Below are 22,158 nucleotides of genomic sequence, written 5' to 3'. Positions count from 1 at the left end.
GTGTGCTCACAAACCCTGGGGATCTTGTTAAAATGCAGATTGGTTAAAGAGTTCTGTTAGGAGGCCTGAGATGCTGCGGCTCTTAGAAGCTCCCAGATGATGCCCTTGCTGATGTTCTGAGGATCACATTGTGAGGAGCAAGCAGCTGCCGTGCATGGCCAAGGGACGTCAGAGGGACAAGGAGGCCCCAGTGGTGTCTGCTCTGCCTTCCTCCATGCCCATCCTCAAGTAGGAATCTCCAGACCCCCAAATTTGTTTCTTTTGCATCACAAGTCACTGTCTGAAATGACTGTCTTTGTGGTTTGGGTGTCTTGTTTAGTGCTGGGCTTCTTTATTAGAACGTAAGTTTCATAAGGGCATCATCTTATTGTGAGTCATTTTCCCAGGGACTAGCACAGTGCCTGGTGCACAGAAGACTGCTCAGTAAATATTTGTTGGATGATTTGCTTTTCACAGATGATATTCTCATAAAGACACTTATATATGAAGTATATATTTACATATAAGAAATGTTAGGGGCTCCTCCCCTGAGAAATGTTCTATGATTAACACAAATGATGTGGCAAATACCAAATGCCACATTTAGTTATTCTTTCTGAAGGTTTTTATGTTCTCTCTTAAGGCTATAATAAAATGTCAGTATTTAAGTTGCTCATGGTGCTCCATTACCTGTTGCAAATGTGAGTATAATTATGCTTTCTTTCTCACATCAGCAGTTTCCCAGCCATAGGGGCTCTTATCCTTCAAACCCTGCCACTTGTCTAGTTGGCTTCCAGGCGTTTTTCTTGCTGCAAGGTGGTAGTGTGTGGAGGGATCTGACATATAACGGGACATGCCTTGACAGCAGTTTCTTCTTTCCACCTAGTCCCTGCCAGGCAGATGGATGGGTGGCCATAGGAAATACACCTCCCTCTGTTCATCTCTTCTTCATTTTAGTGCCAGCAAAGCTGTGGTTCCCAGCGTAGTACTCAATGATCACTCACTGCCTCTCTTCCTCTGTTATTAAGTGTTCATTGGGAGCCTAGTATGTCCAGGCACTCTTACTCCTGCTTTGGCTACAGGAGTGAACAAGGCAGACAAGAATCCTTGCCCTGATAGAGCTCAGTTTGTATTAGAGGGATACAGGTGATGATCCAGATAAGGAAGTAAGGTATAGAATACCAGATTAGTGGTCAATGCTATGGAGAAGATAAAGCAAGGAAGGAAGGTGAGGAGGCAGGGGAAGGTATTATACTGGTGCAGAGAGCCATGGAAAATGGGGGCTCCCCTAGGGTCTGAGCTTCCTCTGGAAACAGGAATGAAAGGCATAGAGTGATTAGGCCTCACTGTCTCAAGGCAGAGAGTGAAGGAAAGGCAGTGAAGGTTGGGTTGGGGAAATGGTTGAGGGTCTTGGGGAAAAACACATGGAATCTCTCTTGGCTCTTGCTGATGGAGGTATTACAAAGGCAAAGGGCAAACTTCTTCGCCCTCCAAAGGTTCGCTGATAATCAACCAACGAAAGGCAGATTCATGGAAAAAAAGGCATACAAATGAATTAATGTGCATGGGAGCCTAAAGAATGAAGACCCAAAGATACAGGGGAAATTGTCCATTTTTATGCTTAGGTTCAACAAACTATGGACGGCCGTGTGGAAATAGGATTGAACAAAAAGTGTGAGATCTAATGCTAATAGACGGAGTGGGGAAACCGAGCAAGGCCTGTCTGTCTAGATTCTTCTTGGCCTCTCTGAGCAGCATTCCTTCCTTCTCAGTATGGGGCAGGACACTCTCTGGAATGGAGGTCTTACAATCTATAATCAAACAAGATAGATCAGATAATTTCTGTATGGTCAATTATTACACAGAAAGGTGGGGGAAAAGTTTGAGCAATATTTTTAGGTCCTATGGCTGGCTTTGGGGAAAAGTGGTTCTGGTTTTTTGATCCACCTTGGGGGAGGAGAGATTCTAGCTTCTATTGCTAGCCTCAGGATAGAATTGAGGGGTCAGAGATAGCAGGCCAAGAGAACGTCAGAGAGAAACTTTTGGAAGAGAAGCTTCTGGGCTGCTTCTGAAGCTTTCATTTTGGGGTATCATTTTAGCCCCAATAGTATAATAGAATTCTTTATTTTTTTTAAATTTTATGTGTGTATTTAAAAAAAAAATCAGCGATATACTTACATGGGTCAACATTTAAAAAGTACAAAAGGATATCTAACCAAAACAATAAACTCCCACCTTTATCCTCTAGGATCTCAGTTCCCCTTCTCGGATGTAACTTTCTAAACAGTTTCTGTATTTTTTCAAGACATTTTGCTCATATACACGGAAACACACACACACACTACATACACACATATATATGTGAATATCTGTAAGCCTATCTATATAAATATCCATAGAATATGTGTATATCATATATATACATGCACGTATGTATATTTGTACATGTATGCATGTATTAAATCAAGTTTAGCCTAAAGCTGCCTCCTTACATATTTAAGTTCAGCCTAAAGATTTTTCTGTACGTCATGAACTATAACAAGTGGAGGTATAAACCAACCATAACACACAACTGTACCAATCGCTGAGTTTCAGCCAATCAAATGTAGCCAACGTTATTTGAACCATGTTCAAACAAGGCAAACACGGAGCTGTAACCAAACCAGTTGTTTCTGTATCTCACTTCCATTTTCTGTATATCACTTTCCTTTTGCTGTCCATAAATCTTCCACCATGTGGCTGCACTGGAGTCTCTCTGAATCTTCGGTGATTCTGGGGGCTGCCCGATTTGCAAATCATTCATTGCTCAATTAAACTCCTTTAAATTTAACTCGGCTGAAGTTTTTCTTTTGACACGTGTGTGTGTATATATACACACACACATAAATATACGTATATGTATATATACATCTATATACATGTATATATATACATGTATATATACACATATATGTGTATATATATTTTAAATTTAAGATTATTTAGGAAGCTCTCATGTTATGAGGAGTCTGTTGGTTGCTGGATTCTTTCCACTGTAGGTAACACTTCCACAAATCAAATAAGGCTTTAGTAGGTTGCCTGTCTATTTCAATTTTAGGAACACCATGATCAGTTAGGCAATATCAGAGATATCTGCAGGGCAAAAACATTCTGAAAAATGCTTTAGCTTTTCTTCCCATTATGGTAGCTATGTCCATCTTGTGATTAAAGGCATAGACTGAAAAATCTAGAAGCAAATCCTAGTTGGATATCTATACTAATTTCCCATTACTGCTATAATGAATTATCATAAACTTAGTGGTTTGAAAATACAGTTTTATTACCTTACAGTTCTTTGTGTCAAAAGTCTGAAATGGTTTTTAATGGGCTGAGGTCAAGGTATCAGCAGGGCTGTGCTACCTCATGAGGCTCTAGGGAAAAATCCATTTCCTTACCTTTTCCAGCTTCTAGACGGTGCCTCCATCCCTTGGCTTAAGGTGCCTTCCTCCATCTTCAAAGCTGGAAATGTAGCATTTTCATTCATTCTCAGTCTGTCTACCTATCCCCCTTCCTTCTGTCACCTCTTCTTTCATCATAATGTGTCTTCTCTGACTCTGACCCAACCGCCTTCCTCTTATAAAAGCTCTTGTGATTACATTTGACGCACTAGGATAATCCAGAATAATCTTCCCATCTCGAGATCCTTAACACATCTGCAAACCGTTTACCCATGTGATGTAACATATTCACAGATTCTGGGGATTAGAACGGGGACATCTTTGGGGAGCCACTATTCACCTTATCAAAGGTAGTGTTAGAGAAACTTACTTAACTTCTAGGAGTCTGTTTCCTCATCTACAAAATTTTCATAAAAACAAAGCCTCTTCCCAGCAGATGGCAGTAGCAACTGTCCTCCCACTCCAGTTGTGACAGGGTTCCTTGGCTGGGGCCTGGGTAGGGGAATTACCAAAGGTTGAAAACAACTGCTGTAGTGATTACTGTATGCATCCTCAACTTAACACCCCAATTTATCACAAGAATCAATTAGTATTTCGCTTCTTTGCAAACAATGTAAAAACTTTGCACAAAAAATTCCACTAATCTCTCTCTAGTTCGTTGTGCTATTGATGTCACATATTTTATTTCTGTCTATATTATAAACCACTAAACTTTATTGTGTTTTGCTTTGGCTTTTTTGTTTGTTTTTGTTTTTGTTTTTTTGTTTTGAGACAGGTTCTTGCTCTGTTGCCCAAGCTGGAGTGCACTGGCACAATCTCAGCTCACTGCAACCTCCATCTCCCAGGCTCAAGCCATCCTCTCACCTCAGCATCCTGAGTAGCTCGGACTACAGGTGTGCACCACCACACCCAGTTAATTTTTGTATTTTTCATACAGATGGGGTTTCACCATGTTTCTCAGGCTGATCTTGAACTACTGAGCTCAAGCAATCCACCTGCGTCGACCTCCTAAAATGATAAGATTACAGGTGTGAGCCACTGTGCCTGGCCTGTGGTTTCTAATAGTCAATAATTTTGAAAATTTAAAGTATTCTTTTATGTTTATGCACATATTTGACCTTTTTTGACATTGTTCATTCCTTCCTGCAGATCTTTGCTTTCATCTTGAGTTATTTTCTTTTAGCTTCAAAAGCTGGTGACATATTTTCTCACCTTTTGTTTTTTTAAACATCTCTATATGCACTTCATTTATAGAATTCTGTTTTTCTTTCTTTCAGCACTTTGAAGATGTCAATTCCATTGTCTTTTGTCTTCTATTGTTTCTCTCTTTTTTTTTTTTTTTTTTGAGACAGGATCTTGCTATGTTGCTCAGACTGGACGTGAATTCTTCAGCTCAAGCAATTCTCCTGCCTCAGCCTCCCAGGTAGCTGGAACTACAGGTGCACACCATTATACCCAGCTGTCACCCATTGTTTTCTGATGAAAGTCAGCCATGATTTTCATTGTTGTTCTGCTAAATATAATCTATTTTCTATGTCTACATTTAATAATTTATTTTATGTGTGCATCTTAAAATTTTTCCTATATTTTTGATTTTCAACCAGTTTGTGATGACCTGGATAAAATGACTGATGCTGTTTTCTCTGCTGTGTCCATTCTGCTTTAGCTCTATAAATACATTTTTAATTTCATGCACAGTAGATTTTTTTTTTCAGTTCTGGAATTTTCACTTTGTTCTATTTTAGCAGTTTTATCTTTTGAAATTGTCATTCTTTTTATCCATTTTGTCAATCTTATCCTCAAATTTCTTTAATATATTTCAATAGTTATTTTAAAGTCTTTGCTTATTCCGATATTTGAACCATTAGTGGATCTGCTACTGTTCAGTTTTTTTTCCTTTTAATTAGGAGTACATCCCGCTTCTTCACTTATTTCATAGCTGTTTATTGCCTGCCAGAAATTGTATAATTAAAAATAAAACCCTACAGCCCTTGGTATAAATACTGTCTTCTATCTTATTCTTTTTTAACTTTTAAATATATATATATATATAATTTTTTAAAAAATTATACTTTAAGTTCTGGGATACATGTGTAGAATGTACAGGTTTGTTACATAGGTATACATGTGCCATGGTAGTTTGCTGTGCCTATGAACCCGTCATCTAGGTTTTAAGCCCTGCACGCATTAGGTATTTGTCCTAATGCTCTCCCTCCCCTTGCCTCCAACCCCCTGGCGATAGGCCCTGGTCTATGATGTTCCCATCTCTGTGTCCATGTGTTCTCATTGTTCAACTCCCACTTATGAGTGAGAACATGCGGTGTTTGGTTTTCTGTTCCTGTGTTAGTTTGCTGAGAATGATGGCTTCCAGCTTCATCCATGTCCCTGCAAAGGACATGAACTCTATTTTTAAAATATGAAAGGCTTCATGAGTTTGTGTCATCCTTGTGCAGGGGCCATGGTAATCTTCTGTGTCTTGTTCAAATTTTAGTATATGTGCTGCCAAAGTGAGCACAATACTATCTTCTAAAAGGGAGGGTGTGTTCTTTTGTCTGTAAGTTAGGGAAATGGGTCAATCTTTATAATCCAGAAAGAATTTGAGCTGATTTGTGGCTGGGATACAGCTTTAGTAAGCTTTATTTCACCTGTGTTTTCACATGTATTTAGGGCTAACTGGGTCTGTACTGTATATATTATAAACTACTCTCTCTAGTAGGACCTTGGGATCTAATCACCAGAAGACTACAGAGTTCTCTCTCTCTGCTTTTCCAGTTCCATTTTCATACCATTTCCACACACTCACCAAAAGTTTCATGGGGGAAAACTCAGCAGGTAAGAAGAACAAGTTCTTTGCATTTGAAACTCCTACAGACTTCAATCCATTTATACTAGCCCACAAGGTCTGCAGGCTTTCCTGTATCATAGCAGAGTTCCAGAGACTGTGATAAGCCCAGTCTTCCACCAGCCCCTGTGGAAATTCAGCAGAAGAGAATTTCGCCACTGATACCTGCTCAGCTAGAAATACCTTATCCTCCCCTGTAATTGAATTTTGGATCATTTTTGATCTGCAACCCTCCAATCTCTTAAATATGGGGGAGATGGGCAAGCTGATCCAGTAATTTTTGTGGTTTATCTAGTGGGAGAAATGGTCCATCAAGACCTTCTACATATTATCTGAAGGCTGGAAGTTCTTAACTTTTAAATATTTTAAGATCTCTAATGATGTCCCTTTTTAATTTCTGAAAATTTTAAGTATAGTTTTCTCACATTTCTTTTAATGAATCTTGATAGGTGTTTATCTGTTTTATTAATCTCCAAAAATACCAATTTTTAAATTGTATGTTTTTTATTTTTTTCCTCTTTAACATTTCCTTCTACTTTTTCGCATGTAATTTATTGTACTTTTTTAGCTTTTTAGGAGATTATTAAATAATTTTTTCAGTTTTTTTCCAAAGTGTGTGTTTGATTTTATAAATTTCTCTGTCAGCACTATTTTATCTACATTGCACAAATTCTGATAGCTATACTCAGTTCAAAATATTTTCTAATTTGCTCTGTTATTTCTTCTCTGACTTCAGGGTAATTTAGAAAACAATTCCTTAATTTATAAACATTTGGTGATTTTCTGTTTATCTCTTGGTTACTGATTTCTAACTTAGTTCCACTATGGTCAGAGTACTGATTCTGGCTTCATGGCCCATTTTGGTAAATGTATCATGTGCATTTGAAAAGAATGTGTGTTCTGCAGCTGTTTGGTATAGTGTTCTATATACATACCAGTTAGGGCAAATTGGTTAATTGGATTGTTCAAAAATACATCTTTTTATTTTTCTTTTTTTCTTTATTAAATTTTTTTTATTATTATACTTTAGGTTCTAGGGTACATGTGCACACTGTGCAGGTTTGATACATAGGTATACATGTGCCAGGTTGGTTTGCTGCACCCATAAACTCATTTACATTAGGTGTTTCTCCTAATGTTATCCCTCCCCTAGCCCCCTAACCCCCGACAGGCCCCAGTATGTGATGTTCCCCACCCTGTGTCCAAGTGATCTCATTGTTCAGTTCCCACCGATGAGTGAGAACATGCAGCCTTTGGTTTTCTGTCCTTGTATAATTTGCTGAGAATGATGGTTTCCAGCTTCATCCATGTCCCTGCAAAGGACATGAACTCATCCTTTTATGTGGCTGCATAGTATTCCACAGTGTATATGTGCCACATTTTCTTAATCCACTCTATCATTGATGGACATTTGGGTTTTTGTTTGTTTTTTTTTTTGCTATTTTCTTTGCTATTGCTAATACTGTCTTCTATTTTATTTTTTAACTTTTAAATATATATATATATAATTTTTTAAACAATTATACTTTAAGTTCTGGGATACATGTGCAGAATGTGCAGGTTTTGTTACATAGGTATACATGTGCCATGGTGGTTTGCTGTGCCTATCAACCTGTCATCTAGGTTTTAAGTTGCAATAAACACACATGTGCATGTGTCTTTATAGTAGCATGATTTATAATCCTTTGGGTAGATACCCAGTAATGGGATTCCTGGGTCAAATGGTATTTCTAGTTCTGGATCTTTGAGGAATCACCACACTGTCTTCCACAATGGTTGAACAAATTTACACTCCCACCAACAGTGTAAAAGGGTTCCTATTTCTCCATGTCCTCTCCAGCATCTGTTGTTTCCTGACTTTTTAATGATCGCCATTCTAACGGGGGTGAGATAGTATCTCATTGTGGTTTTGATTTGCATTTCTCTGATGACCAGTGATGATGAGCATTTTTTCATGTGTCTCCTGGCTGTATAAATGTCTTCTTTTGAAAAATGTCTGTTCATATCCTTTGCCCACTTTTTGATGGGGTTGTTTGTTTTTTTCTTGTAAATTTGTTTGACTTCTTTGTAGATTCTGGATATTAGCCCTTTGTCAGATGGGTAGATTGCAAACATTTTCTCCCATTCTGTAGGTTGCCTGTTCACTCTGATGGTAGTTTCTTTTGCTGTGCAGAAGCTCTTAGTTTAATTAGATCGCATTTGTCTATTTTGGCTTTTGTTGCCATTGCTTTCGGTGTTTCAGTCATGAAGTCCTTGCCCAAGCCTATGTGCTGAATGGTAATGCCTAGGTTTTCTTCTAGGGTTTTTATGGTTTTAGGTCTAACATTTAAGTCTTTAATCCATCTTGAATTAATTTTTGTATAAGGTGTAAGGAAGGGATCCAGTTTCAGCTTTCTACTATAGCTAGCCAGTTTTCCCAGCACCATTAATAAAATAGGGAATCCTTTCCCCATTTCTTGTTTTTGTCAGGTTTGTCAAAGATCAGATGGTTGTAGATGTGTGGTGTTATTTCCGTGGCCTCTATTCTGTTACATTGGTCTATCTCTCTGTTTTGGTACCAGTACCATGCTGTTTTGGCTACTGTAGCCTTGAAGTATAGTTTGAAGTCAGGTAGCATAATGCCTCCAGCTTTGTTCTTTTTGCTTAGGATTATCTTGGCAATGCGGGCTCTATTTTAGTTCCCTATGAACTTTAAAGTAGTTTTTTCCAATTCTGTGAAGAAAGTCATTGGTAGCTTAATGGGGATGGCATTGAATCTATAAATTACGTTAGGTACTATGGACATTTTCATGATATTGCTTCTTCCTATCCATGAGCATGGAATATTCTTCCGTTTGTTTGTGTCCTATTTTATTTCATTGAGCAGTGGTTTGTAGTTCTCCTTGAAGAGGTCCTTCACATCCCTTGTAAGTTGCTTTCTTAGGTATTTTATTCTCTTTGGAGCAATTGTGAATGGGAGTTCACTCACGGTTTGGCTCTCTGTTTGTCTGTTAATGGTGTATAGGAATGCTTGTGATTTTTGCACATTGATTTTGTATCCTGAGACTTTGCTGAAGTTGCTTATCAGCTTAGGGGGATTTTGGGCTGAGACGATGGGGTTTTCTAAGTATACAATCATGTCATCTGCAAACAGGGACAATTTGACTTCCTCTTTTCCTAATTGAATACCCTTTATTTCTTTCTCCTGCCTGATTGCCTTGGCCAGAACTTCCAGCACTATGTTGAATAGGAGTGGTGAGAGAGGGCATCCCAATTTTGTGCCAGTTTTCAAAGGGAATGCTTCCAGTTTTTGCCCATTCAGTATGATATTGGCTGTGAGTTTGTAAAAAATAACTCTTATTATTTTGAGATACATTCCATCAATACCTAGTTTATTGAGAGGTTTTTTTTTTTTGAGATGGAGTCTCACTCTGTCACCCAGGCTGGAGTGCAGTGGTGCAATCTCAGCTCACCGTAAGCTCCGCCTCCTGGGTTCACACCATTCTCCTGCATCAGCCTCCCAAGTAGCTGGGACTACAGTTGCCCGCCACCGTGCCCGGCTAATATTTTGTATTTTTGGTATAGAAGGGGTTTCACCGTTTTAGCCAGGATTGTTTCAAACTCCTGACCTCGTGATTTGCCTGCCTTGGCCTCCCAAAGTGCTGGGATTACAAGCATGAGCCACCACGCCTGGCCTATTGAGAGTTTCTAGCATGAAGTACTGTTGAATTTTGTTGAATGCCTTTCCTGCATCTATTGAGATAATCATTTGGTTTTTGTCATTGGTTCTTTTTATGTGATGGATTATATTTATTGATTTGGGTATGTTGAACCAGCCCTGCATCCCAGGGATGAAGCCCACTTGATCATGGTGGATAAGCTTTTTGATGTGCTGCTGGATTTGGTTTGCCAGTATTTTATTGAGGATTTCCACATCCATGTTCATCAGGGATATTCATCTAAAATTCTCTTTTTTTGTTGTGTCTCTGCCAGGCTTTGGTATCAGGATGATGTTGGCCTCATAAAATGAGTTAGAGAAGATTCCCTCTTTTTCTGTTCACTGGAATAGTTTCAGAAGGAATGGTACCAGTTCCTCTTTGTACCTCTGGTAGAATTTGGCTGTGAATCCATCTGGTCCTGGAGTTTTTTTGGTTGGTAGGCTATTAATTGTTGCCTCAGTTTCAGAGCCTGTTATTGGTCTATTCAGAGATTCAACTTCTTCCTGGTTTAGTCTTGGGAAGGTGTATGTGTCCAGGAATTTATTCATTTCTTCTAGATTTTCTAGTTTATTTGCATAGAAGCATTTATAGAATTCTCTGATGGTAGTTTGTATTTCTGTGGGATTGGTGGTGATACCCCTTTATCATTTATTGCATCTATTCTTCTCTCTTTTCTTCTTTATTAGTCTTGCTAACAGTCTATCAATTTCATTGATCTTTTCAAAAAAACAGCTCCTAGATTCATTGATTTTTTTGAAGGGTTTTTTGTGTCTCCCTCTCTTTCAGTTCTGTTCTGATCTTAGTTATTTCTTGCCTTCTGCTAGCTTTTGAATGTGTTTGCTCTTGCTTCTCTAGTTCTTTTAATTGTGATGTTAGGGTGTCAATTTTAGATCTTTCCTGTTTTCTCTTGTGGGCATTTAGTGCTATAAATTTCCCTCTACACACTACTTTAAATGTGCCCCAGAGATTCTGGTACGTTGTGTCTTTGTTCTCATTGGTTTCAAAGAACATCTTTTATTTCTGCCTTCATTTCGTTATTTACCCAGTAGTCATTCAGGAACAAGGTGTTCAGTTTCCATGTAGTTGTACCGTTTTGAGTGAATTTCTTAATCCTGAGTTCTAATTTGATTGCACTGTGGTCTGAGAGACAGTTTGTTGTGATTTCTATTATTTTACATTTGCTGAGGAGTGCTTTACTTCCAATTATGTGGTCAATTTTAGAATAAGTGTGATGTGGTGCTGAGAAGAGTGTATATTCTGTTGATTTGGGGTGGAGAGTTCTGTAGATTTCTATTAGGTCTGCTTGTTGCAGAGCTGAGTTCAGGTCCTGTGTATCCTTGTTAACCTTCTGTCTCCTTGATCTGTCTAATATTGACAGTGGGGTGTTAAAGTCTCCTATAATTATTGTGTGGGAGTCTAAGTCCCTTTGTAGGTCTCTAAGGACTTGCTTTATGAATCTGGGTGCTCCTGTATTGGGTGCATATATATTTAGGATAGTTAGCTCTTCTTGTTGACTTGATCACTTTACCATTATGTAATGGCCTTGTTTGTCTCTTGATCTTTGGTGGTTTAAAGTCTGTTTTATCAGAGACTAGGATTGCAACCCCTGCTTTTTTTGCTTTCCATTTGCTTGGTGGATCTTCCTCCATCCCTTTATTTTGAGCCTACGTGTGTCTCTGCACGTGAGATGGGTCTCCTGAATACAGCACACAGATGGGTCTTGACTCTTTCTCCAATTTGCCAGTCTGTGTCTTTTAATTGGGGCATTTAGCCCATTTACATTTAAGGTTAATATTGTTATGTGTGAATTTGATCCTGTCATTATGATGTTCGCTGGTTATTTTGCCCATTAATTGATGCAGTTTCTTCATAGCATCGATGGTCTTTACAATTTGCCATGTTTTTGCAGTGGCTGGTATGGGTTGTTTCTTTCCATGTTTAGTGCTTCCTTCAGGAGCTCTTGTAAGGCAGGCCTGGTGGTGACAAAATCTCTCAGCATTTGCTTGTCTGTAAAGGATTTTATTTTTCCTTCACTTATGAAGCTTAGTTTGTCTGGATATGAAATTCTGGGTTGAAAATTCTTTTCTTTTTTTGAGACGGAGTCTCGCTCTGTCTCCCAGGCTGCAGTGTAGTGGTGCAATCTCAGCTCACTGAAAGCTCCACCTCCTGGATTCACGCCATTCTCCTGCCTCAGCCTCCCAAGTAGCTTGGACTACAGGTGCCCGCCACCATGCCCGGCTAATTTTCTTTTTGTATTTTTAGTAGAGACAGGGTTTCACCGTGTTAGCCAGGATGGTCTCGATCTCCTGACCTCATGATCCGCCCACCTTGGCCTCCCAAATTGCTGGGATTACAGGCGTAAGCCACCGCGCCTGGCAAAAATTCTTTTCTTTAAGGATGTTGAATATTGGCCCCCACTGTCTTCTGGCTTGTGGGGTTTCTGCTGAGAGATCTGCTGTTAGTCTGATGGGCTTCCGTTTGTGGGTAACTCGACCTTTCTCTCTGGCTGCCTTAACACTTTTTTCTTCATTTCAACCTTGGTGAATCTGACGATTATGTGTCTTGGGGTTGCTCTTCTTAAGGAGTATCTTTGTGGTGTTCTCTGTATTTCCTGAATTTGAATGTTGGCCTGCCTTGTGATGCTGGGGATGTTCTCCTGGACAGTATCCTGAAGAGTGTTTTCAAACTTGGTTCCATTCTCCCATCACTTTCAGGTACACCAATCAAATGTAGGTTTGGTCTTTTCACATAGTCCCATATTTCTTGGAGGCTTTGTTCATTTCTTTTTATTCTTTTTTCTCTTACCTTGTTTTCTTGCTGTATTTCATTAATTTGATCTTCAATCACTGATACCCTTTCTTCTACTTGATCGAATCGGCTATTGAATCTTGTGCATGCGTCATGAAGTTCTCGTGCTGTGTTTTTCAGCTCCATCAGGTCATTTAAGGTCTTTACGCTGTTTATTCTAGTTAGCCTTTCATCTAATCTTTTTTTAAGGTTTTTAGCTTCCCCACGATGGGTTTGAACATCCTCATTTAGCTCGGAGAAGTTTGTTATTACCAACCTTCTGAAGTCTACTTGTGTCAGCTCATCAAAGTCATTCTCCATCCAGCTTTGTTCCGTTGCTGGCGAGGAGCTGCAATCTTTTGAAGGAGAAGAGGTACTCTGGTTTTTTAGAATTTTCAGCTTTTCCTCTCTGGTTTCTCCCCATCTTTGTGGTTTTATCTACCTTTGGTCTTTGATGTTGGTGACCTACAGATGGAGTTTTGGTGTAGATGACCTTTTTGTTGATGTTGATGCTATTCCTTTCTGTTTGTTAGTTTTCCTTCTAACAGTCAGGTCCCTCAGCTACTGGTCTGTTGGAGTTTGCTGGAGTTCCATTCCAGACCCTGTTTGCCTGGGTATCACCAGCAGATGCTGCAGAACAGCAAATATTTCAGAACAGCAAATATTGCTGCCTGATCCTTCTTCTGGAAGCTTCGCCCCAGAGGGGCAGCCACCTATATGAGGTGTCTGTCGGCCCCTACTGGGAGTTGTCTCCCAGTTAGGCTACACAGGGTTCAGGGATCCACTTGAGGAGGCAGTCTGTCTGTTCTCAGAGCTCAAACGCCATGCTGGGAGAACCACTGCTCTCTTCAGAGCTGCCAGACAGGGAAGTTTAAGTCTGCAGAAGTTGTTTGCTGCCTTTTGTTCAGCTATGCCTTGCCCACAGAGGTGGAGTCTAGAGGCAGTAGGCCTTGTTGAGCTGCGGTGGGCTCTGCCCAGTTCGAGCTTCCTGGCTGCTTTATTTACCTACTCAAGTCTCAGTAGCGGTGGAGGCCCCTCCCCTAGCCAGGCTGCCATCTTGCAGATTGATCTCAGACTGCTGCGCTAGCAGTGAGCAAGGCCCTGTGGGTATGGGAGCTGCCTAGCCAGGCACTAGAGAGAATCACTTTGTCTGTCGGTTGCTAAGACCTTGGGAACAGCACAGTATTTGAGCGGGAATATCCTGTTTTTCCAGGTAGTCTGTCATGGCTTCCCTTTGCTAGGAAAGGGAAATCCCCCAACCCCTTGTGCTTCCTGGGTGAGGTGACGCCCCACCCTGCTTTGGCTCGCCCTCTGTGGGCTGCACCCACTGTCCAACCAGTCCCAATGAGATGAACCAGGTACTTCAGTTGGAAATGCAGAAGTCACCTGTCTTCTGTGTCAATCACGCTGGGAGCTGCAGACCGGAGCTATTCCTATTCTGCTGTCTTCTCTTTTTATTTTTCTTTTTGTTCTATCAGTTACTGAGATGGGAGCTGTTCTCAACCCTATAAATGTATATTTTTGTTTTTCCTTTTAGTTTGATCAGTTAGTGATTTATATATCTTGAGCCTATGTTATTAGGGGTATACACAGTTATGTTCTACCAAAATTAGCCTTTTTTTGTTACAAGCTCTGCCTTTTTATTGGTAATAATACTTCTCATCTTGAAATCTTCTTGGTTTCATATTAGTATACCTATGGCAGCTTTCTTTCGATTTGTATTTGCAAGGATCTTCTTTTTTGCCCCCTCTGGTTCTTATTTATTAGATATGTCTCCTGCAAACAACATTTGGTATAGTTATTTTTTTTTGTTATTTACCAATATGGCCATGTTTGTGTTTTTAAAAGATATTTAATGTCCATTTATGTTTAATGTAATTGTTGATATATTGGGGTTTAAATCTGTTATCTTACTGTGCTTTCTATGTGTCCCAGCTGTTATAATTTTTTCTGCTCTTTTAGTCTTTTAATCAAATATTTTAATATTAGTCTTTTTCCTCTATTGTCTTCTCTCTCTTTTTTTTTAAGAGTCTTGCTTGTTGCCCAGGCTGGATGACAGTGGCAAGATATGGCTTACTGCAGCCTCAATCCCCTGGGTTCAAGTAATCCTCCCACTTCAGCCTCCTCAGTAGCTGGGACCACTAGCATGTACCACCATGCTTGGTTAATTTTTTTTTTTTTTTTTGCAGAGACAGAGTCTCATCATGTTGCCTGGGCTGGTCTCAAACTCCTGGGCTCAAGCAATCCTCCTGCCTTGGGTGTGATCAGCATCTTCTCTTTTTAAAGTTTTATTTTACAACTATACATTTTAAAATTATATTTTAGTTCTATCCTAAACAAGATAAATTTTTGACCTAGACTACTTCAAATTTTAATTTTACTATTTCTAGGATAAATCAAACCTTAAAAACTTTAACTGTATTTACCATTCTCCCATTTTTTGTGTTATTGTCATATGTTTAAATTATATATAAAATATACTGTATTTGTGTGTGTATAATTTATTTGCACAAGATGACTTATAGTAGTCATTTATTTAAATTTATCCATGTATTTACTCTTATTTTCTGCAAGTGTTCTTCTACCAGGAATCGTTTTCCTTCTGCTGAAAGAACCTCCTTTAGTAGTTTTCTAATGTCACTTTGTCAGAGGTGTGTAAGCCAGAGCAGCTCCATCTTAGATAGGGGCTGGGTAAAATGAGGCTGAGACCTACTGGGCTGCATTCCCAGATGGTTAAGGTATTCTAAGTCGCAGGATGAGATAGGAGATTGGCACAAAATACAGGCCGTAAAGACCTTGCTGACAAAACAGCTTGCTGTAAAGAAGCCAGCTAAAATCCACCAAAACCAAGATGGCCTCGAGAGCAACCTCTGGTCATCCTCACTGCTACACTCCCACCAGCACTATGACAGTTTACAAATGAAATGGCAACATCAGGAAGTTATCCTATATGGTCTGAAAAGGGGAATCCTGAATAATCTACCTCTTGTTTAGCATATCTTCAAGAAATAACCATAAAAATGGGCAACCAGCAGCCCTCAGGGCTGCTTTGTCTGTGGAGTAGCCATTCTTTTATGCTTTTACTTTTCTAATAAACTTGCTTTCACTTTATGGATTCACCCTGAATTCTTTCTTGTGCAAGATCCAAGAACCCTCTCATGGGTTCTGGATCGAGACCCCTTTACTGTAACAACTCTACTAATGACAAATTATCACACTTTTAGGGACGTTTATCTAGAAATGTTTTTATTTTCTGTTTAATCCCAGCTTCCTGGGTAGCCCTGAGCTCATTTATTTTGATTTTTCCAATTCAGTGAGGTTGCCAGAATCTCTTGATTGCTAATTTCTGATCGGCCTCTATGCTTTTCCCTAAAAATTGGCAAGAGCATTATGGAGGGAAAAAAATAATGAATATAGAGATTTTCTCAATACATTTTCCTTCTCTCCAGGATCTTGATCTATTGAATCCCGGCTGCTTTAGTTATTCTCTGATTAATGTAAACAGTTTTTTTTTATAATGTTAATTTTTCCTAGATTTTATAGTTGTTTTCAGTGGGGAGTTTACTGTGAATGAAACTTCTCTGTGACAGCTAGAAGTACAATCTACAAATTATTGTTTGTTTTTAATGAAACATGTATTAAAAGGAAGTCTCTCCTCACCCATATGGTGGCCTTTCAGATATTTTCCCACAGCTTCTATAAAGCCTGCCAAGCTTCTTCTCTAGATTACATGGCTAAAGTTCTTTCATGTGACGAGATCTCTAGAGCCCTCCCCATTCTGGTTTCCCAACTTATCTTTTCTCTTTGTTTTTAAGTAGACAGCGCAAAGATTATTCCTGGTTATAGAGTCAAGTTACTTTTAAATCCTGGACCCCTCATATTAAATGCTTGACCATGAACAAGTTAACTTATTTAAGCCTTTGATTTTTCACCTGCAAGATGAAGGGTATTACCTAGCTTGCAGAATCATTTTGAATTAAAAGGGTGCCTCAGTATAGTAGGCACTCAGTAAATTTAGCTGCTGCAGCTGCTTTCATGTTCGCATACTTGTTATCGCTTTGACAGGATATCCAATTGGGATAAATTCTTGGTATTGTTCTTAATGGGTTTCTTGAATATTTTTGTGTATCTGTTTTTTACATGTACCTGGTTTAGTTTTTACTGTGTAAAAACTGTAGAATCGTCCTCAAAGAAGGTATAAATTTGAAGATATGTCTTTCCTCCTCCTTAACACCTCCCTCTTCTTGGCTGAACAAGTGGGAGAAAAGATGTTTTTGGAAGAATTTAATTTAACTACAGGAATACCATTTAAACGGGAAAGTGTTCTCCCCCTCTTCACAATGACCCTTTATCAGGATTTCATTTGGCTTCCCTTTGTTTTAGAGAAGAAAATTAATAAACGTTTTGGATGCAATCTTAAGCTAAGGTCGGCAGCAGCTGCTGTGCACTTGTTTAAAATATCTATTTTCTTACACTCGTTTCTGACCCTTCTGAATCCTGTTATCAGTGCCTGCACATTTTTGGTAACTGATTGTCATTACATTGTAAGGATGCTGCCCGGATGATTGCTCCTCAACCAGAGATGTCAGCCAGCTGAAACATACCAGGAGACAACAAAGGACATTCCTGACTTGGGGAAAAATGGAGCAGGAGAAATTTACATGTGTTTGACATTTATATTCTTTTGAGTAGCTTTTGTCTCTTTGAAAATTCCCTGAACTTACTACTCAAGCAGAAGAATAGAATCTAAATGCAAGGGAGAAAAGAAAGTCTGCTTTGAAGATGGGGAGTAAGATGACGAATTAGAGGTTCGTCTTTTTCTTTTAAGGCCTTTTTTGGTTATGGAAAAGGACAGAATTGTAAAATTAACAAGATCACAATAACTTTAGTTCCTGATGTATTGGGGAATAGTTCTATTAAAAGCATAATGTATTTAAAGGCTTGTCATACCAATGTTTCCTAGTAGCCTCTTTCTACCTCTCCTTTGTATCAAAGAGTGCGAGCCCAGGTGTTTTTTGTATTATCGATTACATGTAAAGAGAATGCCTTGAAATGTTACTTATGTATGGAGGTCTCTGTGTTGGAACAATAGAGGTTTATTTGCATGCTGAACTTCTGATCTCAAAGGTGGAATTTCACATAAGACTGATGATAAGCCCAAGTGATTAAACCCCAGAGGCATCACTAGTGCCCTGTCTCAATCTTTATTTTACTTCTTAATAAATGCAGAACTCATCGGTTGGTACATACTCTGGAAAGCAAGATTAACAGAATCTTATTTTCTAATAAAGGGTTGGCAGACATGGGGTGATGCTTTTAGATTAATACACTGAACGCAATTTATGGTGCCAGAGGTACTTTCATCTACGTAAAAGCAGTGGTACCTTCTTCCATTATCTAAGACCTTCAACATCTGGGTTAAAAATGCATTACCTGGATTTATGCTATTTATATAGTTAAAGCAGCTAGTTTCTAAATTTTTTAGACAGTCCCAATCCTTTTTCCCCTCAGTTTTCTTTGGGAGCCCACTACATAAAAGATAATTTTTTAAAAGAGAGATTCTGGTTGATGCAAGGCAGCAAGAGGACAGAGGTCCTATTGCATTCCCCTTTTTTCCTGACAAAGTCTCTCTGCTGCATCTCAACACAATTCATGGGATACAGGAAACAGAGCTGACAAAACACTAGCCTAAGGAAGCCAATGAGACATGTGCATTATTAGAAAAGGGTTGCAGTGACCAGACAGGACCCTTACAGGCTAATTAAAGCAGTGCCATCACTGGGAGGAGCAGGCTTTCCTGTTCTTTTCCAAAATCGTTTTTCAAAAAAATAGGATTGTTTTGGAATTTTGTCATTTCCCTAGGATGTTTCTAGAGACTGAAAGAGGTGGCTAGGAATCATATGAATATTTTTCTGTTTTCTTTTCTTTCAAAATGGCTTCATGTAATTTCTCTCCCATTTTAGCCATCTATATACAGTGTGAAAGGAAAATAAAATATCAGGACCCTAAATTCACTATGCCAAAGGGAAAAGTTAAGCTTGGAAGCTGAGTCACAAAAATACCCAAAAACCTGCCATTCCTTTTGTTCCTAAACTGATAGCTACAGATAGAAGGCCACGTGTCTCCACAGGGGGCCCCCCTCACACTGACAATGTAAATGAACAGCTTGTCTTCACAAATATGGAACAAGGGGAGACTAGAAATTGTCCCTCCCGTCCCAAGATGAATACGTATTTGACTGCATCCTCTACTGTTTATCTTATGTAAAAATTCAGACTTACTGAGTATGAGATGAATACATAATTGTTTCTTCTACCCCCTCCTTTTCATGTGCAACATATGGGCTAAGTAAGCCAAATCAAAGCCTCACAAGAATGTGACTATAGCCTTCCCCCTTTTTTTCTTTCCGCTTTCCCCTCCTGCTTGCTTTTCCCCTTTAAATATTGAAGTCTTCAAAATCCTCTCTGGAAAAAGAACAGGCTACAGATTCTACTGTGGCTTGTGTCTTTTTCCCAGGCACATCCTCAACCTTGGCAAAATAAACCTCCACAATGATGGAGATTTGCCTCAGTCATTTTCTTTGATGTACAGCAGTCATCACTAACAGGTATATTTGGTCTCCTGTGAATTTATGTGAGTTTTAATCTGGGCTCCATGCAGTACAAAAGATACAGATGACTGGTATGAAATCCATTTCTAATGTAAAATGGAAAACTTTGTTTCTAGCTTATGAAATCTATGGCAGTGGGTGGGAGGCTGCCGAAGAGATGAGGATTCCTGAAGAACATCAAAGTTAGGCCTGTCTCTAGAATTTGAGACTGATCATTAGGTATTGTCCTAAGGAAATTAGATTTTTTTTGAATTTGAAATGACAGACACTGGCTTCAGCGAAAGGAATTTATTGGTTCACATAACTGAAAAGTCTGTGAGTAGGGCAATCCTCAAAATTCATAAAGTCACCTGCCCTCTTACTCTTGCTTTCTGTGCAATGTTTCTCTATATGGGCTAGCCCCGGTTTTTGCTTCTTCAGATTAGATTCATTCTTGCATCAGGTACAGGGAAAGGTATGGACAGTGGCACTGCTGCAACAGTTTTAGGCTTTACCCAAGCCGATTTAGGAACCCAAGAAACAAAAGAGACAGTTTCTTTCTTTTTTTTTTTTTATTCATATGGCCCAGAACACTGTTTTATTTATTTTTATTTATTTATTTATTTTTATTTTTATTATACTTTAAGTTTGAGGGTACATGTGCACAATGTGCAGGTTAGTTACGTATGGATACATGTGCCATGTTGGTGTGCTGCACCCATTAACTCATCATTTAACATTAGGTATGTCTCCTAATGCTATCCCAAAAGAGACAGTTTCTTTCTCTAGCTTCAAATTACAAAATCCTAAAGAAGGATTCTCTTGACTAGTTTGGGTCACATCCCAAATGTAAGGTCAATCAGTGGTCAAGGGGCATGGAGATACTATATTTACTTCTGTATCTCAATCAATATTCCTAATATTTACCTCAGTTCCCTCAGCCGAGTCTATTCTAGCTGTCATTTAAGAATGCTACGTGAGCCTGGGCACTATAGCTCATGCCTGTAATCCCAGTACTTTGGGAGGCTGAGGCAGGAGGATCATTTGAGCCCAGGAGTTTGAGACCAGCCTAGGCAACATGATGAGACCCTGTCTCTATAAAACATACAAACAAAAGTGAGATGCTGTCTTTATTAAAAAAACAAAACAAAACAAACAAACAAAAAAAACAGAAAAGAATGCTACATGACTGTAAGAATCTCTGAAAGAATACCAGTATTTTCATGGAACCCTCCAGAGGCTCCACTCAGAGGTTTTGGCAATAAAGACACAGTAGCTACTTGGGATTGATGTGGCTCTACCAGGAAGAATGAGAAAACGAAAGCAAACAAGGTGTCTGAATGGAATTAAACAATGAGTATAGTCTTTCCACAACTCAATAACTCAGAAAGGGCAAATTCCACCCTTCCCATGCAGTTTGCAGACTTCAGACATCATACTGCTCTTTTCTGCAAAGTCCAGACATGGCCTCAGAATCCTTTCAAAATAGCCCTCTAGGAACTCAATATTGGTAGGCAAAATAAGCTTATTTAGCATCCCTGGCATACTCAGGAGTCCCCATACTTCATCCTTTTCTCTTGTTCCTCTCCAACATTCCAGAACCTTGGGGACATCTTTGACATTCTAAAGACCGGTGGATTTAAATTGCCTAGTAGGGTCTATATGGGTATGTTTAAATCACAGGATGCTGCTCTACTTGTTTTTGTTCCATTTAAAAGAATAAGGCAATTGACTAATGCAAAACACAGGATGATGAAGCAAAAAAGAAGTTTTGGAGTGTTTTACCTCTCATTTTCTTCTAAAATCCACTTTTATAATGCTCTTAACTTGATGGCTGGCACATTTTTATTGATGTCAAGAAATAAGCCATCCCCCCACGCCACACACAGATTACTACTCTTCACATTATTGTAACTTTATTATTCTACCGTCTTCATCATTATGAATTTACTCTTCCAAGTGAAGGCAATTAAAATATTTTAGCCCACAAATGTATTTCTTTGACATATTTTGACATGGCTGCCACTTGGCCAGCAAACAGAAGTGGCCTTGCAAAGTTGTCTTTTTTTTTTTTTTTTTTTTTTAATTGTATTTTAAGTTCTGGGATACATGTGCAGGACATGCAAGTTTGTTCCATAGGTAAACATGTGCCATGGTGGTTTGCTGCACCCATCAACCCATCACCTAGGTATTAAGTCCCACATGTACTAGCTATTTATCCTGATGCTCTTCCTGCCCCTGCTGCCACCACCCCCCTACTGCCCCCAGCCACACCCAAGCTGTTGAAACTGGGGAAAATGTGTATCTGTAGAGAATCTCTGTGCCCCCTCCCCTTTCCAGGGGAGGCTTTATCTACATAACAAGGCCACCTTTGCTAGCCAAGCCTTTCCCTTTGTCTGTGTCCTAACCTGTCTTGCCACTAAACGTGTTTCAGGCCTTGCTCTGAGTGTAAACTCTTTACTGTGGTCTCAGGGTGGTATATAAGTTTCTGTAACTCATTGGAAAATTGGGTCTTCATTCTGAAGGCCACCATGTATATATATTAAATAAACATGTTATGTCTTTTCTCCTATTAATCAACCTCATGCCAGTGAATTTTCAGTGAACCTTTAGGGGGCCAAGACCCAATGACCCCCACACAGGAAATGCTTGCCCAAGAAAATAAATATTATAAATAATATTGTATTATTAATAATATAACACCACTCTGTTAAGGTGGTGTTCTTCCTTCCCTAGTAAGAAGAAACTCAGCTTTGTCCTATAAGTTGTTTGGATGATATATTAGAATAGTCAGTATTTGACAATGTCAATAGCTACTTGGCTAGT

At 39.1% G+C, this 22,158-nt stretch overlaps 1 pseudogene, besides 2 other annotated features; it reads right to left on the bottom strand.

The window, feature by feature from the left end:
• On the bottom strand, positions 5,827-5,931 carry RNU6-556P (RNA, U6 small nuclear 556, pseudogene; annotated as a pseudogene).
• Positions 17,105-17,996: an enhancer, noted in NCBI's record as "OCT4-NANOG hESC enhancer chr5:156229076-156229967 (GRCh37/hg19 assembly coordinates)". NCBI's record gives its function as "activates a minimal SCP1, AML or CMV promoter by ChIP-STARR-seq in primed H9 embryonic stem cells {active_cell/tissue: H9 hESC(primed)}" and the evidence as "EXISTENCE:reporter gene assay evidence [ECO:0000049][PMID:30033119]".
• Positions 21,395-21,896: an enhancer, noted in NCBI's record as "NANOG hESC enhancer chr5:156225176-156225677 (GRCh37/hg19 assembly coordinates)". NCBI's record gives its function as "activates a minimal SCP1, AML or CMV promoter by ChIP-STARR-seq in naive H9 embryonic stem cells {active_cell/tissue: H9 hESC(naive)}" and the evidence as "EXISTENCE:reporter gene assay evidence [ECO:0000049][PMID:30033119]".

The sequence above is a fragment of the Homo sapiens genome, chromosome 5, assembly GCF_000001405.40.
Source record: "Homo sapiens chromosome 5, GRCh38.p14 Primary Assembly".
Taxonomy (NCBI): Eukaryota; Metazoa; Chordata; class Mammalia; order Primates; family Hominidae; genus Homo; species Homo sapiens.
The sequence above is the reverse complement of the archived record's forward strand: the minus strand, read 5'-3'. Positions and strand labels throughout refer to the sequence as shown.